Here is a 19,601-nt window from a genome sequence, read left to right on the forward strand (position 1 = left end):
TAATAGAAAAAAGGAAAATAACTGGAGAATGAACAAATTGTGATATATCCATACAATGGGATACTACTCAAAATAAAACTATTGTAACTCTTAGTTTAAAAAAGGCAAAAATGACACCAAAAACAAAAACCCCACAAAATAAAGCAGAAAACCAACCATCCAACAAATAAAATGCTCTTTTTTTTGAAAGGTTCTTTTTTCTGTGGACCTGAAAAGTAGGTGACATATTCAGGCCATTGTGAACTCAAAGATAATCTCATTTACTAAAATGAATTATTAAGAAGAGCAAAAAACTATAATTGATTGCTTATGAAGAGAAAGAGACATAAGTATCACTATTGGGTTGCTTGATGGAACTGTTGACAATCACAGTATTTCAGACTACTTCATTTTATTAATAGAATAGTTGATTTTCTCCTGTGAGATTCTGAAGAGTCACACAATACATTTGATAGTCCCTTACTTGGGTTATTAGAGAAAAATGATACCGAATGCATTAGAAACAAAAATGTAGAAGGTGAAATTTTAAAAGGGGATTGAAATTAGAAAAGAGAGTACTAATACTACACAGATTTGATTTTTCACCATATTTATCCTACCAAATTTATCTTAATACAACAGAGGTCCAATTCATTGTGTTGAAGTAATGGCTGATAGATGTCTGTCTATGATTATGGAAACCTACTGCTAACTTCTCATTCCTGTTCTGCCAGAATGTGAACTTACTTTCATTACAGGAAGGCTGCTTGGATTTCAAATTTGATTTCTTCTTGCAAAAAAAAAGAAAAAGGATTTGGCTATCCTAGTGGTTTGTTTGGCAGGCAAAATACATTCCATGGCGGAGCAAGAGCCTTAATCATTAAGGAAGTGAGGAAGTGATGTGTTCATCTTCTGAGAAGAAGAAATGCCAGAGATGTAGAGTATGCTTTGTTCTCTGTATCTTTTATAAAAATTACCTAGATGTATTAGCAAAGAGTGATCTAGTGACAGGTGAAATGACTTAAGGTAGGCAAATGCAAAATATGGATACACAATTCTTCTGAGATAGTGATTGTTGAATATATAAGAGCCGATGGTACAGGAACAAAAGGTGAATTACCTGTGGTACTTTAATTAAAGTGTTAATTCTTCATTTGCTGAATGTTGAGGAAAACCATAAGTAAAGTTTAATATCTTTGTTTTCATCTTAAGGTTCCTTAGCCCTACTAAAAACAAATCCCTATTTACTTCAACTGTTGAAGCTATCTACATCAAGAAATTCACTAAATAAACTAGGGAGAGAGAGAGGATGACAGTGTGTGTGTGTGTGCGCGCGTGCGCGTGTGTGTGTGTGAGAGACAGAGACATGAATAGAAAGGCCTAGTTATATATAATGTACACATAAAAAATTCCATTGGGCACTTTGGAAACAAACTTTTTATTTTTATTTATTTTATTTTATTTATTTATTTTTGAGACAGAGTCTCACTCTGTCACCCAGGCTGGAGTGCAGTGGGGTGATCCTGGCTTACTGCAACCTCTGCCTCCTGGATTCAAGCGATTCTCCTGCCTCAGCCTCCCGAGTAACTGGAATTACAGATGTGAGCCACTGTACCCAGCTAATTTTTTTTTATTTTTATTTTTAGTAGAGACAGGGTTTCACCATGTTGGCTAGGCTGGTCTTGAACTCCTGGCCTCAAATGATCTGCCTGCCTTGGCCTCCCAAAATGCTGGGATTACAGACGTGAGCCACTGCTCTCGGCTGGAAACAAACATTTCATTAATCAGAGTACCAAAGTATTTCTTTAAAGAGCAATTTACCTTTTTGATAGACTAGGCCAGAGGTCAGTTTCTAGGATAGGAACACCAGCTGTGCTAAGTAACTTTGCATAAAATAATATTTACAAAGTGCTTTCACTGATTACATTATCTTCATCCTCATTACAATCTTTTAAAATGTGTAGGAAGGCAGATATCTTTTCACCCACTTTATGGATGAGGAAAGCAAGACTCAGAGACATGATAGCACCTTCCTCTGATTAACCAGTTGCTGGTAATATGAAGCAGAGCCAGTTCTAGAACGTAGATCTTCTGACTTTCAGCCTAGTACATCACCCCTTCACCAAAGCTACCCCAATCACTATTCGGCAATCTGAAATAACTCTGAATTTCAAAGCCCACCATTTCTTGGCTGGAACATTATTTTCCCACTTTAAGGATGCCACTTCCCTGCCCAGCTAAGCACATTAGAAGAGCCCATGACCAGTTATGAAGTTCATGCCACTGTCTAATTGTTCTCTGAAATACTGCCCCACCAAAGATGCAAGGGCATGTCGAGAAAGCACTAAGGACTAAAATTATAGCTGGGATGAAAACAATGCTAAATTAATGCATTCCTTGGTTACAGGATTATGAGCAAGTGTTATTGTGGATAAGACTTCTATTTTTTTTCTATTAGAAACTCCATTCTCTTTAAAAGATCAACAAGAGGAACCAAAGGGAATTCCCTAAGGTCAGCTCTGAGGAAACATAAACCTCTAATTCAATAACTCTGCTACTGCTCTGAAAAAGGGCTTTATTATTGCAACATCCATATGGAGCCAATTGGACATTAATGACTAATCAATCCCTCCCCTTTCTATTCTACTTAAAGTGTCACAAACTATGTTTAGATTAGCCCATTTCCTGCTTAGGATTGCTCAAGATGTCTTTTGTTCTTTCAGGACCAGCCTGATGGAGGCAGCTTAAACAAACACACGACCGGAGTGGCGCAGGAGTTATAAAGTGCCATATGTGAATGAACAAAGGGGCTATACTAAAGCCTTTTGTGGTATTTGTTAATGTTTTTCATCTGAGCTTAAAAAGGCTTAATGACTTTGTGGTGAGCTGATGCATGTGGCTCGTGGCTTTGCAAAATGAAGGAAATTCTAACCAGTGATATACCAGTCTGTATTTTCAAGAGTCTCTTGCTTTCAGTTTTGATGCCTGTGTTTACTTTTTTCAAAATTCTCAAGTTATATTTACTTTACACAGATAGCTAAACAGAGTCCTTTATCTTATTTCAACTACAGAATCCCAGGGCAGCTGGGATAACTTATATTCTTTATTTTAATGACCTGAAGGGAGCATAGAGCATCAAACATCCCACTTATTATCTATATGCTGTATTTATACATAGAAGGAGGGCCTACAAGCTGTTGAGCCCAGGTAAAAAGGCATCATTTAAGTTTGAACCAGAGACCACTGAGGTTGAAATAAGGCAATAACAAGTTCTGGCTTCCTAAGTTTTCAGGACAACTGGGCTCAGGTTCAAGAAGATGCCCTTGGAGAATAATGAGGCTGGTAAAAAGCTGGTAGACTGAATAATTCGTGTTATTCAGCAGCTTTTGGCTTTAACCAGCTCTACCTCCTGTCATAGACTCTACATGAAATTAAGAAGTGCAAAGCAAGATGAAGCAAGTCTCAGGAGTTAGTTAACACAGATACTACTGAATCCATCCTCTCATTTCAATCTTTATCGATTGCCTTAGCCTTCACTATCTTTGCTGGACTATTATAAAAACTAGCCTTCTGGCTGATATTCTTACACCCAGTTTTAAATCCTTTAACCTCCACTTAAATACCTCCTCTTAATTTCAGCCAGAATGATCTGTCACAAATGCAATTCAGACTAGGCCACTGCTATATTTAAAACACTTCAATGGCTCCCTCATGCCCACAAGATGAAGTTCACACTCCTTAGTACAGTACAGATGGCTTTCCGTGACCTGGCCCTCCAACTATGGCTCCAGTACCAGCTCTGGCTACTCTGCTTGGAACATTTTTTGTGTCATAACACTGAACTATTTCCAGTTCTCCACACACTGTGTTGTGTGTGTACATACTAGGGATCTGAGTTTTCTCCTTTCCTGAAATTACCTGGCCATCTTGCAATCACTCATTATTGAAGACTCGTCTCAGGTATTATTTATCCCATGAAAGTCTTACCTGGTTGCCAGGTTAGAATAAGTAGCTTAGGCTCTGACAGGTGGCACCCTATGCGTACCTCCATCTTAACATTTGCCATATTTTATCCAAATTACCAGTTTTATGTACTTACTTTCTTTTCTAGACTATGTACCCCAAAACAGTGGTGACTGCATTGTGTCTTATCCTTAGCTGCTTATCCTTATCCCCAGGGTCTAGTAGCCAGGATGGCATAAGGTAAATACTCAAATGCTTACTAATACAGTACAGTGGACATCTTCAACAGTGAGAATTTTAGAGTGAGTCTCTAATGCCCACATGTTCTATTAGAACCTGGGAATTTCTGAAATCAGATCTTGTAGAAATTTAATTTCTTATATTCTGTTAAGTGTCATTTCTTGAAACATCTATAAAACAATAATAATTTTGATGTGGAAAATGTACCCATAGTTGCGGTGTGGGACTCAGAGATTATTGGTTCCAATCTTACTTCTTTGATTGACTAGCCATACTGTGCAGTTCTGAGATGCCAGCCTCCCTACTTCTAGAAAAACCTTGGAAGGATGGTAAGGCATGTCTGAGATTTTTGGAAATATTAAATCTGAAAACTATTCTAATGATGTAGGGTGTGTGTAAATATATATATAATACATATATATATACACACACACATATATATGTGTGTATATATATACATATATATGTACTGTATTCAAGTAAGCATACAATGGGACTTTCCTTAAATAGCAGATTCATTATAAAATAGATAAAACACGCTCATTGAATTAGAGAACTCTAACAGGAGATGGATGTTAAAGATTACCTAATCCATACTCCTCATTCCAAATGAGGAAACTTTCAGGTTTAGAGAGATTAAATTGTCCAAGTCTCACGGTTAATAAATGGCAAAAATCACAATGGGCACTCAAATGTAACTATCCCCAAATTTCACACTTTCCATCAGAATGAATTTCTTCAATGGTCAGCTGAATTGTTTCAATGGCATCCAAACTTAGCTTTTAAAACTCCTAACATGACTAATTTAACTGGCCTCTCTTCATTTCATTTGTCTGGGGAATCTGTATTTCATTAGAATGGAAAATACATATTATGGGAGTAGCAGAAACTAATTTTTTTTTAAGGTTAGGGTTGAGGAATGAACAGTACTGAAAGGAGATCACTCAAGGATTTTAGAGACAATCCAATCTGATGGGCCCACCAATACTTCTTCACCCCGAGAACTGGTGAAAGTATTTGAAAAGTGCCTAATATTTCTGTGGTTTAAAGGATTAAAAACACTTTCACAGTTTCCATTTCTAATTAAAATTTTCTGCTTTTTAATGAAAACTATAGGAAAAAGCTAATCCAACAAAGGCAACCAATTTAGTCAGCTCATCTTGGAGAAAAACAGGAGGCAGTATGGCTCAGATGCCATATAGACAGATCTAGGTTTGAATTGTTGATCTGATCTTTCCTAGCTAAGTAGCCTTGGATAAATTGTTTTCTTTCTCTAAACTGTAGCTTCATTTTTCTATAAAAGAGAGCAATAATTTCTACCTTGCAGCATCTTTGTGAGAAATAAATGGGCATACATGTAAATTTCCTAGCACAGTGACTGGAACCCAATACCTACTCACTAAGCAGTAGTTCATTTTAGAAATAGGTAGCAGTAATAATGGCAACAGAAGTAGTAGAATGCTTATTCCAGTACCAAGAACATAGGAGGTGCTTAACTCATATGTGTTCCCTTTATAGACTTTCCTCATACCTGGGTGATGTTTGCTATATTTTACATTCTATTCTTCATGTAGTTACTAAATAAACCCATAAGTTAACTGAAGAATGCAATTTACTCCTTAATGGAGCCTCTCTTCTTCCCAAATGCTAAAAATATATTTCAAAAGGTTCTCTACGATATAGACGAAAATATAATGACTAGGCATAAGGCTCAACCGAGAAAGACCATCTCACATCTCCGCAGTTCCCATATATGGGAACAGAAATCAGACCATACTGCTCATACAGAGCCAGAAGAAAAGAAGAGACCATTATCTTGTGAACCTACAGATAGGCTTTTTTATAAAAGACTCATTGGAATTATGAAGGATTTGAATTATTGACTATGAAATTATAATAAATGGAGGGCAATGAAGTTTCAGGGACATTTGACAATTGTTTTTCTTCTTCCCCACTAACAGGTCTGTAGCTCTCCAGCATGGAGCAGCTATTATCCTGTTTATTTTGTCCCTGTGTAGGATCAACCTTCCCACAGAAGAGTCAGCTTATATTGAAGCACCATGAGCAATTTCTCTACCACCAAAGTAAAAAATACATTGATACCAGTAAGCTTCAATTTGAATTTCTAATATAAATTTAAAATGATTGAACATATTTCTTATGAAATGCTTTTTTCCAGGTCTGAGACTTGGGATATTACATTTTTGTTCAGAGTTACATGCCATAGCCTATTCCCAAATGTAGCAGTTTATAGTATACAGCAAATGACGATGCATTCTTACATAACTTTTCCCCTCTGGTACTATGACCTAACTTTGGCATCATCATGTCTCAGGTGTAAATATCCATTGAACAAAAACAATTAAAAAAAAACCCGCACTCCTAAGTGAGAGGCAAAAGTACAAGACTGATCTGTAAGGCATCGATCAGTCACAGTAGACAGTGAAAATCATACTTACTTGCATCCAGGAGGAGAGGAGGAAAGGAATTATTTCTAGTATGCGTTTGAATGAAAACCCACCTAACACCTGCTAAGCTTTCTCATGTTATAACATGGAAAGATATCCACTTGAACATCCTCTCTGAAATAATATTAAAGAGAGCAGAGGAATAAAGTGACTAACAGATCTCCAAAAACAACCTAACTACTGCATTTCCATTATTCTTAACCTCTCTAGTCTAAATCAGTCTTGAATGATTAAAGGTTAATGCATATTTATTTGGTGGTAAAGTCCAAATTCCTCAGCGTGGTAATCAAGGCACTCCTTAATATGGCACCCATCTATTTCTGTAGCATACTCAATTCAACAAATATTTATTAATTGCAAGTGTGTGCAAGGCTTTGTGTTGGGCTTAGTGGAGAAGACAAAGATGAAAAAGACGATTCTTCCCTTCTGGAGCTTTCCTATGAAGGTCTATCTGCTTAATGTCTGTGTCTGCTTAGATTATTCCCTCAAATGAAAGCTTTTCCTCTTCTCTTTGCTTATCCAAACCTAGGCTTATCTCCAGCCACACTTCTATCAGGTTTTCCAGAACCATTGCTGTCCACAAAGCTTCCTCCTCTAAATAGCAGTTCTTTTCTGTTTCTTTAACGATGTACTTGAACATTTAATGCCTTAAACTGCTTTGGTTTTTATGTATACTAAGCTTGTAATCCCAACTACATTACTAGCTCTTGAAGAATATAATGTGGTCTATATTTTTTAAAAAACCTTTCCCTCCATGCCCATAACAGTATGGTGTTATGAGATAATCAGTAAATTATAACTTGGTTGAACATATGGGTAAAACTGAAGATTGGAAGGCCATGAGTAGGGACAGATCCTGGTTAGAAAGTCCTGGTTCCTAGCACCGGAGATTCAGTCTACAGAGACCCACCTCTAAAGAGGCTGAAAATAGACAGCAGATAGTGAGTGCAGGCAGTGATAGACAAGCAGAACCAAACAAGAAGAGGAATCTAGAAGGAGATATTAAAAAACAGTCATGCATTGCTTAATGATGGGGATACCTTCTGAGAAATGAATCCTTTGGCAATTTTGTCATTGTACAAACATCATAGAATGTACTTACCAAACCTAGATGGTATAGTCTACTGTACACCTAGGCTATATGGTATAGTCCATTGCTCCTAGACTACAAACACATACAGCATGTTACTGTACTGAATACTGTAGGCAATGGCAACACAATGATAAGTATTTGTGTAATTTGTTTAAACATAGACAGGGTACAGAAAAAATATGGTATTGTACTCTTATAGGACCACCATCATATATGTGGGCCATCATTGACTTAAATGTCATTAAGTGGTGCATGACTGTATAAGAACACCTTGGTTAAGAAAAGATAGGAAGTCAGTAACAGAAACTGGGGGAGGACTGGGTGGGTACTGACTCTTTGGAACAAGTTAGAAACACAGTTATCAGAACATGAAGAAAAGGAAACGGCCAATTGATCAAAGTTTGGTCTCAATTCCAATCCTGACCTTAAACAGAGAGAATTTAAAGCACATTCATAACTAGCTTGATGCTCATTAAATCCCATTACCTTAAGGTTAGGCTGAATTCCACAGCTTGCAGGTAGAAAGTCAAGTGGCTCTTACTGCCAGGAGAGAAGAATCTGGGCAAGGTCCACAATCTCAAAAGCTACAGTCAGTCCAAATATGTCGGACAGAACTCTATCAGTCAGGGTTTAATCTAATGTGTTGGTTTATGTGAAGCAGACATACATACTGCTGAGGAAGCAAGGGCTGATTTTGCAGTCCCATCGGGAACATATGCTAGCTATCCTTGTCTTGGGTTTAATTTTCATGGTAGATAGTATTAATCTTTCATTGCTCAGTTGCTGTAGCAAGTTGGAGAAGTACAGTCATTACTCAGTATCTGAAAGAGATTAGTTCCAGGACCCCCTACAGATACCAAAATCCTCAGATGCCCAAGTCCCTTATATAAAATGGTGTAGTCCTTGCACATAACCTATGCATATCCTCCCACATACCTGAAATAATCTCTAGATTACTTATGTTACCTTATACAATGTAAATACTATGTAAATAATTGTTACATTGCATTGTTTAGGAAATAATCACATGGAAAAAGTCTGTACATGTTCAGTACAGACACAACCAGCCATTTTTTGTGTGAATATTTTTTATCTACAGTTGATTGAATCTACAGATGCAGAACTTGCAGATACAGACGGCAGACTATATTTCTATGTGATTCAGTAATGACATAGACAGTTATTTCTTCCCCAGGGTAAAGAACATTCAGTCAGAAAAGCAGATCTTTTTTTGTGGTAATTATTCACACTGCCATTGACACTTCTTTAGAAAAGGCAGCCCAATGAGAAACCAGCTATCCAGTAGGGCTAGATTCCTCACTAAAGAGAGGCTGGGTCTTTGATTGGGCTTTCTATCTTAAGCAACAATAAGCAGCAGGTTGAGTTCCTTTTATGGAGTATTAGGAGATGGAGTTATACAAGAATCTTGACATTTCACTATCTTGCCCCATCAGGACTATACATCACTTGGAGGGTTCAATGGAAATTGTTTTCTACCAACATTAAAAGTTATTTCGGAGCTTTTAAGACACAGCAAATATATTTCTTTAAGAGAAGTTTATTTGCTTGTTTAAGAGAGCTGCACTTTATATATAGTGCTGATATAAACTGGTGCACAGGATCCTCTAAAACTGTTTATATCCACAGTAAAATACAGTTTTGTGATACTCATACAACAGAGTTAGTCCAGAGCCCAGGGCTTTGTCGACTCTGCTTATATCCCAGCCTGTGTGGCTGTTACTCCTTTTCACCAGGTCTTGGGCCTCCCTCACTACCCATCCTGGCCTCAGTCACCAGTCTGCTGGTTCCACAGAGATGCTATTGCCTATTCATTTCTCTGAAATGCCTGGACGCCATTTTGGGTAGCTATGGAAAGCCAGACCCATATGCCCACAGCATAGCTCTAGTTAATGTTCCCTCTGATTTACCTGAGTCTTATCTTTTTACGTGTATAATTTCTCATCTTTTATTCCTAGTATCTAGTAGTTGGATACCTTCTTGGGCAAAGGCATGTCATCTCTGATATAATTACACAATAATTGTATTTATTTTGATTATTGCATCATCCCTAATTGATACTTATTATACTCTAGTTGCCTTGAAGGTGAATGGTTTCAATTATATAGCAGTAAAATAATAAAGTTTTAAAAACTGTCAACTAGAAACCATCTAGACCAACTTCCTCATTGACAGATGAGAAAATTTAGGGGAAGAAAATGACTTGTCAAGGATGGAACAACCAGAATTTAAGTCTTCTAGCCCTTAAGCAAATATCTGAAGGGGTGTCAAATCAAGAAATGATAAGTTTTATTGGTAGGGTCTAGAAGTCAGACTAGAACCAATGAGTAGAAGTTACAAGAAAGTGAGGCAAATTTTAGTTATAAGTTGTTAACAAACAGCTAATTGAATTAGGACGAGCCTCTCAAGAAGTGGCCAGTATTCTGTCTTCAGACTCTCAGAGGCATTTGAACAGATGTAAAACGACTACTTGTCAGGGATATGAGAAGTGATTTCTTGGACTGAATTACAGATTTGATGACCTCTCTCCTTTATTTCAAATCTGAGAATCCAAGAGTTGCAATGTGAAGCACTATATTCTGGTAGGCTTGAACTAATGATCTTTACATTCCAAAGTATATGCAGTTATAGCATTTAAATCCCACCCCAGATTAGGCTACAGTTTGCCTCTGCTGCCTTGAATGAGTCGTGTATCATAGAGTCAATCTTTTCTACCAGGAATAAGGATCTAGGGAGGGTAGGGGAATGAGGAAAGCTTCAACAATTTCCAAGTATATGGATCAAAGAATGAGCAGGATTTTTAAGAGAGGGCATTCATATTAAGCGGTGTGTTTTAAAGAAAAGAAGAACTATTACAATCTCTGCTATTTGTCTTAAACAAAGAGCTTAAGCCGAAAATAAAAAAAATATCCTGAGATATAAAACTTAGAAGCAGTTGGAGCTACACACACACACACACACACACACACACACACACACACACACACACACAAATAAAGCTTCAGAAGGGTAAGGTCATCTTGGCTGTGTTCCAGTTCACAAATTCAGTATAAATCTATAAAATGCTTCTGAAGAAATGTGAGAGCAATAGTCCCAAAAGAGGGTATTCTTGGTACACATATCTATTTCCATTTGAATCAATGCAAAGTTTTAATGCATGGAGGACAGCACATCATTCCAGTTCTGATCCAGGGTCCAACAGTCTGGCCAAATATAATCCCTTTCAGAGCTCATCCATAAATGCTAGGCTTATCTTTCACTATGCCCCAAATCAAAATGAGGTACAACCTCCCAAAAAGGCTGGGACAGAGTAATTGATGTGAAAATTGTTTTAAAGGTGTTAGAAGAATGTTTTCTTACTCAAACCATGCAGCAAAACAGAAACAAAAGAAAAGTACCCCTTTAGAAACCCCAGGTATAAGAGAAAAAAGAAACAGGATGGAAAGAATATATTTAAAAAGCCAAGTCTCAACTATTGTTGCTGGGGGAAAGGAGAGCAGAGAGAAAGAGGAGGGAGCCCATCTGTGAAAGGTAATTGGGAAATACTACTGGAGAGATCTTCTCATTAATAAAAACAAAAGCTCAAGGAACATGAAAACTCAATTCAGCAAGTGGCACAAATACAACCTCTAAGCCATTACTCTCCTCTTTTACTTCTCTAAAAAAAAACCCTAAATGGAACCTATGATAGATAGATCATCTTTCTGATAAGAAATTCACTCAGTGTTTTATCAAGATTCTAATAATAATCGCAGACTTGGAAAGGACCTTAGATGAAGTCAAATCCAACATACCTTTTTTAAAAGATAAAGAAACTTAAGCCCAGAGGTTCTTGTTTTTAGTCATTTAGCAAAGGAACTTCAACTCAAATCTCCCATTAAACAGGCTAGAACTCTGTCTAGTCTGTAGGCAACCTTGAAATTAGGAGAGTTGGAATAAGAATTGCACTCTTGCCTAAGCAGAATAAGAAAAGGGGAAATGCCATACGAAAAGTCCATAAAAAGTTCAACAGCTGTTCACTATTCTTAATTATATGGTGACAGACTCAACTAATCAAGCCCTCTCTTCCTTACATGTCCTACATAGGAGCTAACAAATTATGTATACTCAATACATGTTAAGACTTCAACTGCTTCAAAGTATAACAAAACCTTAAACATGTTTCCTAAGTCCCCGGCACCAATGAATTTGTAGTTTTATAAATATCATGGTGAACAAGAAATGCTGTCTTGTCACATTCAAGCCAAATAACAGCTGGACTTTAAAAATAAAATTTTGAAGGCATTTGCCTTTTATATTTTTAATTTCTGTTTTCCTTGCCTATGGTTTTGTCATATGATTTTGATGAGTGGTTAATACACATCCACAGCTGCCTCTTTTGGTGACCTTTTCCTCACTGCCTCCAGGCTCAGGGCTATGAAGCATGTCTACAAGTTGCTTACTAAGTGATATTGTCATTTTCATGGCTGGCAGACATTTTTCTGGGAAGCCTGGTGGAAGCAGGGCCTCATTTTCTGGGCTGGCTTACTTTAGTCACTTCAGAAGCCCCATAGGAGGATGGGTAGACATGGGGGGAGGGCATAGCCCCTTAAAATTGCTGTTCCAAAGCCAGAGGAAACCTGTATGGACTGAGGGAGAAGACATCCTGGGCCAGAGGCACAGAACTTACTTATCAACTCAGCCCGGCTAAGGAGCTCTCACTCCAAATCCTCTATACAGCACAAAGAAGTCCTGATCTTCTTAGCACTTTTCTCCATGATAATTATGTATGTACATATTTCCCTTTTAATCTTCTGTCTTTCCTCACTAGACCATATGTTTAAAGAGGTCAAGGACATCTCTGCTTTGCTGCCCATCGTTTGTTTTAAGTCTAGTTTAGGGGCTGGCACATGGTAGGCACTCAAGAAATGTTGGCTGGTTGTTTTTTTAGACCAAAGACTAAGTGAAGGAGCAAATAATTTTTTTAGTTATTCTGATACTTTAGTTTCTTCTTAATCTTACTGTTAAGGGAAATATGAAGGAACGAAGTAGAGAAAGTATCATATGTACCTGTTATCTACTCTGACTTTAATATGAAGTGTAACTCCAGCAGACTTTGCAATCAGCTCAGCCTTGAACAGATGCCAGGATATATCCTGAAGTCAGCAGAAGGCTGCTACCCATGCTAGCAGTCCTCACAGAAGCACTGCACTTCGGTCGGTATTAGAACAGGTAACTTGACTCCATTCGTGAACCCCCAAAAGCACATGAGGTCTCAATGGCAACTTCTGGGCAAGCTTCTAAAGGGAGGTTTTCACATGCTCCTTAAGCTCCTGGGCCACTACAGCCCTTCTACTATGATACTCATCAGGCACTGCTGCTATGTGTGACAGAGTAACATGAGAGCTGGTGTATGGCATGACTTGCTATATTTAGGGCAGAGGAAATGGGCTGTACTGAGGAAGGTCACAAGGAGTTTGTTCAGAAAAATGAAGGGACCACGTGTTTCTGCATAAACAGTGGGGGCAGTATGGCAGGCTGCTGGGGAGAATCTCAGCTCTACCCTTAATATGTGGCTCATAGCGAGTAATTTAATTATTCTCAGCCTCAGTTTTCTCACCTGTAAAATGGAAAAAGTAATACCTTCTTCACAATGTGTATAAGGATTAAATGAGAAAATGTGGGTAAAAGGCGTAAGACATCCTCTAGTATATAAACACTTGATAAAAAAAGTTTTCTAAAAACAAAACAGCCAGGGAAATTGGTTTCAATCTAGACAATCTAGGCATTGAATAGAATATCCAAAAATATTTATATGCAGTATGTTTCTCTAGAGTTAAATTTTTAACTTTTTCCTCTTATATAGTTAATAACTCTGACCATGATTTTTAACTTACCAAGCACATGATATCACTAACTAGGTAATGACATTACTGAGAGATAACTGACTATATTTACACCAAATATGCAGTTAAGGAAGCAAATGAAAAAGTGTGAATGACAAATTAGAAAAGTCTTTGACAGCGCGGGTAAGGTGACAGAGCTCTGTAACTACCAGTCTGTTGTCAAATAAACAGACTGAATACTCCAAAGTAATGAAAAATATTTATTTAATTACATATGGTCAACAATTTAGGTACTCTGCAGTACAATCTCCCAATAAAATTGAGATGGGCCAGACCTGAAACACTTCCACACAGGCTTTTAGGCCAGCCACAATCTCTGTGTTGCACTCGGATGGTTAACTGTGCAAGTAACATCATTTGGACTTCCTGGCTCCCTAGGCAGAGGAACCTCAACCCTTATCGGTGGAAAACCTGCACTTTTAAGTGCCTATGAAAATAATGGGCTGTTGATACACATTCTTCAAGGAAGACAGCAAGCATATTTCTGGTTTTGAGTAATCTTTATGCCTCCCTTCCTATCTATCCTCCCTCTTCTTCGTTCCTTTCCTTCCTTTCTCTTCTCTTCCCCTCCCTCCCTCCCTCTTTACTCCCATAGACACATATACATCCTAATCAGAATTTATTTTAACACCTGGTCTCCCAAACTATCATCAAACATTAGTCTTTCCTACTAGTATGAAAAATTAGCATTCTGAAAAATTTCTGAAGGGCTTCCTAATGTCTAATACTATTCATCTCTGAGTCCTCATTCCAGGGATTTCTGGGCTGCCTGGGATGGCCCCAGGCTCTCACTAAAAGCCATGCCCAGTTTAGATGCTGCTATGAAGTGTCTTCATGTGTTTTCGAGGGATTTTAGGGTCCTGGAAGAAACCCTGCCAGTTAAAGGGATACTAGTGAGATTCTTCCCCTTAAGCTAAAGAAGGACTTTAGCTGGGACCTGAGATGGGTGAAGTATCATGTTACTCCGAAGAGAACAAATTAATCTTCCCTGACTGGTGGGACAGATTCTGCCAAAGGAACAGCTAATGGGAAAACCAGTCTCTACTCTGTGATGACACAGTAAATAACCAGGCAACATTACTACTGAAGTGCTGACCTAACCCATAAATTGTACCCAGACTCTGGGGAGCAATTTCTGCTGATGTGCTGCTTGTGCATTTAAAACAAACAAACAAAAAGGGAAAAGAAGCGAACAGGCATTGATATTGGTGCGGGTAAACATTCTGAGAGGAAGGCTGGTCTTTCCACCCAGACTTCTGAAAGACGTTAGTGATGGTTAGTGCATAGGCACAGGCTGGGCCTTCCCCAAACAATTATTAAGTTTATGCTAAAACTGCTGCAAACTATCATTTAATCCCCAAAATGGTTTGATTGTACCTGGGAATCACTTGATTTGGATATGCTAAATATTCTGATTTGATCATTCCACAATGTATACATGTATCAAAATCACTTTATGCCCCACAAATATATACAATTATTACTTGTCAATGAAAGATAAAATAATATTTAAAAGTCCTCCTTTCTAAGTTTTCCCTTTTTAAATACAAATGCAGTGAGATGGATGAAACACAGAATTCTGCTGTTCATTGAAATGTAGAGGATCCTTTTATTTTAAAACTTTGATGGTAACTTGAAGTACTTGGATTGCTAAGTATTCGGTAATGTAAGATCTAACTGCTTCTTAAAGTCTTCTACTATAATGCACAACATAACTTACATACATACGTAGTTGAAGAGTGACATTTCCTTTGCTTTGCCTAAGAAATCTAGTGATGACTCCTATGAAAAACTATAAAGATCCTATATCTAGCTCAGACACACATTTGGAAACACATGGAGCAGCAGAAAAGAACTAGAGAAAAGCCACTCACCCTCTGCATCTTCTGGCCGAGTAAGGTCGATGACACCTGGGCCCAGTTTTCCATCTTCATTTGACTTTCCCGTTAACTGGGGCCCCAAATTCTCAAAGCGCGTTCTTTCCTAGAGGAACAAATAATCAGAGGCTTATTCTAGTTTCCAAAACAGCCACCATTTCCTTCCAGTTTCTATCTTGCTTAATGGCCAAAAGGTGAATTCAAAAATATCATTTCTGACCAATGTGGACTCTGAAAATCTTTCAGGAAGATTCCGTTGAAAGCTGTTTGTGACATGGACAGCACTGACAGCATCTAGACCATAGTACCTGTAGGGAAAGGAAAGCTGTGACAGGGAACCTGCCAGAGCTTCTATGCATATCTTCTCTCTGTCGGATTTGCTCCAGTAATCTAAAAACAACGCAATAGAGAGGGTTGAGCCAACAATGCAAAAACCTGAAAGAGCAGTTCTTATTAAAATACACGGCTCAATTTAATGGGAGAGGAATTTTCTCATTTAGAGATCATAGTTTGCATTGGTATTCCTGGGGAAATACAAATCAGAATTTTATGCACGAGGATTTCAAAAACAAATATTTCAAACCAGGCCAACCAGAAGATGATTGATACTACTATTTTGTCTCAGAATTTCAACTGTGATTTTCTGGGAACTGAAAAGGAGGACATCACTCCTAGCCAGCCATGGAGCCAGGAAAGTTAAATACCCCTGCTGCTTTAGGAGGGAAACCCAGAGATGTTTTACTTGTTCACCAGTTCTTCTAGGAGTAGGAGTCTGAAGCACCACAGTGAACACTCCCTCTGCAGCTCTCTGGATCAGTAGCAGAGGGGCTCATTGACCATCATTAATATGGTGTTCTTGTCTGCAGAAAAACAGCTCATGTCCCCCTCTCGTCTCCTCACTACTCTCCTGACTCAAACTTGGCTTTGTGTTGTGCTTATGAATGAATGAAACCTTGTTGTTCATTACTATGAAACAATATTAAATGTCATGTCAGCTTGAATTTACAGACATGAAATAGCAGCTTCCAGCTCCGGGAATGGTTTCTGCATGTTATACTTAATGCATTATGCAGCAGTAGAGTGCTGATTGCTGTTCAGTCTATTGTTCAATGACCTAGTTCTGTACTGAGCATGTTCGGCATTAGATGGAAACACTCTGAGTGTTCTCTTCTGTAAGATGTTTAGAAACTTGGAAATATTCTTAAAGAGCAAACATACAATTACTTGATAGAGTCTCTGCCTCATTTGTACAGCCTGACTACATTTGTGCTTTCTAATATGATTATTTTTGAATATCATTATATTTCTATAATTAATTCCCATCAGTCAAATTGTGCAGGAAGTCTTCCAGTTCCCCTTCGTCATGGAATATGTTGAAATCTGTGTTGGAAGAAAACACAGCATAAACCTTGCTTTAATCTACACCATTTCTATGAAAGATTTGCAACAAAAATTACAATCACGAGTTTCCCTAACTGGGTAATACTCACTAGTTTAAATAGCAGTATGTAGGGAAACCTCTGAAATATGACTCTCATAAAAAACAGAATGAAAATAAAAACCAAGTTAAGTATGGTTCCCTAATATCTTCCTATGTGAAAATACTGGTGCACAAGAACAAATTAACCCAGATGCAGGACACAACAAAAAGCAACTATAAGCCTTGTGGGAGCTTCAGACGCAGTCAGGGAAAGGACAGCTGCTTTTAATCAGCCAATTTCTATTTTTGAGTAGCACTTTGGTTGTCATGATGTAAAGAAAAAGAATTAAAGTGGAGATGAGTAGTACCAGGGAAAGCAAAATATTCAACCTTTGTTTTATCACATTGTTTCGCATTTCAAATATTTGCATGTGAATGCTTTCCCTATGTTAAATGCAAAAGGAGTTTTGATGTGACACCTGCAATCTTCTTGGAAGAACAACCTTTAACTGTATTTTCATAGGAGGAAAAACAACTTTCTCTGAAAATCAACAGACCGTGCTATCTATCAATATGCATATTTCAAGTATCTTTCTAGTCACTCATTCTCTTTGATTTTACTGGAAAATATTCTCAGTAAAATAAAATAAAATAAAATAAAGTTCCTGAAAGAATATCAATATTTTGACAAGGAAGGAGAAGAGGGAAAATTACATGCCATGGTTTGTAAAATCCTAAGACAACAAAGCTTACATGATGATAATATCTTTTCTTTTATAAAAAATGAAGTGCACTCACAATTCAGTAGTATCAGCTTGTTTTTAATCATAACAAAAAACATTCAGAACATTCAACAACACATTCACAGTGTCTTTGAAGTCATACATTTTTCTAACTTCATTGAAAAAAAAATCTTCTGCAGAGATACTTTCCCTTTAAAATATCAATATTTTGACAGAGTAGAAGTCAAGGAAGAATATCCCATGAAACACTTGTTAAATAGGAAGAAAATAAATCAATGATAGAAATTGTTTTGGGCAGTGGGTTGCATTTTAGATTTGGTAATATTAAGCACTTGTGTTTGAGATTAAAGAAGGACCCTGCAAAGCCATGCCATTTCATATAAATTTCCACCTAGTCTCCCAGAAGATTTCGTTCTTTTCTTCAAAGAATAGCTCAGAATATTTATTTGCCAGCCACATAACCATAAGATAAGAGGGCCTGATGTCTACAAGTTACGTCTGGGCAGCTGAGCTAAGCAAAGATTTTACCAGTGAGGTTGAACATGAGCCTAGTAAATACAGGATGTGGACATGGGCACAGAGAGAAGTATAAAGATACTTTGGTTCCAACAAGCTTAAACTTCTGTCATTAAGCATCCATGAGCATGCCCCTATATGGAACAAATATAGACTGTGGGTGGCAAGTTCTTAAGTCCAAATTTCCACACACTTGAACTAGCTCTCACCATATACATACCTCCCAAGTAAGATATGTTGGAGATATAAGCAAAATACCTCAATGCTAATTTAATCCCACCCCTTCCAGGAAAACTGCCCCATCTTCATGTTGACAGTGGATTTTACATGCAGCAATGTGATCAGACACTTACTTATGCATTGTCAGTCACAAACATGCAGGCAACATAAAAGTTATTGAAAAAAATTAAAGTCAGCTCTGCTGTGTTGTAGGACTGTTGGCTCTCTAAGTGCTTTGAAATTATGATGTATGAGGTAGATGTTGCATATTAAATAAAGATATTTAAATGATAAAGCCCCCTTTAGTGAGAGCTGATGAATGTTAAATGTTACAAGCCACAAGACGGTAGCATCCATCATCTTCACGTATTATCAGAGTCAATGACGGGGCAGCCTCACTGATGACAGATAGACTGCTGTATTATTATCCCTAATTTCCAGAGTCACTGAACAAACCATTCAACTCTTCGGGCATTATTTTTAACTTTGCATTAAATTAGCAACTTTTCCCTCCCTACCATGGCAAGATTGATCAATTTTGTCTTTGCATGGGTGGAGAGAGAGAATGAATTTGGGGTAACTAAAAGAACAGAGGTTTGTTTTCATCTAGGAAAAAAATCAACTTCCTCTTACTGGCATCAAATGTAAAATTGTGATCTGGGGAAAGAACAGCAATGAAACAGTAAGCACACAATAATGGCTTTTCTTTGCACTTAGATAAAAGCTGAATTTTTGATGTGCACAGTATATTTTAATAAAATTTTATATACTATGTTTTATACACTTATTGGCTATTCCATAATAATGTGTGTGCTAACAGTAAAATTGCTCTTAAATTTATGTGTGTTATTTATACGTTCCCACGTAACAATGCTTTTTGTTGTAAAAAATATTCTGTTTATTAATGTAACTTTACAACCACTGCATCCAAGATCCGTGGTAAATTAATGACATTTTTATTATTTTATAGTGTCATTAAATTTTTACTGATCACTCCATCAAACAGAGGCAGTAAAGACCATAATGTAAACTGGGACACTTAGATCAGGCAGCAGGAAGACATTCCATATAGTCTGAAGAAAACGGCTAGCAATAAATGATATTTATACCATCTTTAAGCATGTGAGAATACTTGGATAAGTTTGGCAAAACTGTTTCAGTAGTAGAGTGGATTGTGTAC

The 19,601-nt window shown here is 37.5% G+C and overlaps 1 protein-coding gene across 6 annotated transcripts in view; it reads right to left on the reverse strand.

The window, feature by feature from the left end:
* Positions 1–19,601, reverse strand: part of SOX6 (SRY-box transcription factor 6) — a 772,029-nt gene that overhangs the window by 32,973 nt on the left and 719,455 nt on the right. For all 6 annotated transcript variants that reach the window (NM_001367872.1, NM_033326.3, NM_001145811.2 and 3 more), the window contains one exon: positions 15,521–15,629. In NM_001367872.1, the coding sequence (NP_001354801.1) occupies positions 15,521–15,629 (109 nt within the window). The remainder of the gene's footprint in view (positions 1–15,520; positions 15,630–19,601) is intronic.

Source organism: Homo sapiens, chromosome 11 (assembly GCF_000001405.40).
Source record: "Homo sapiens chromosome 11, GRCh38.p14 Primary Assembly".
Taxonomy (NCBI): domain Eukaryota; kingdom Metazoa; phylum Chordata; class Mammalia; order Primates; family Hominidae; genus Homo; species Homo sapiens.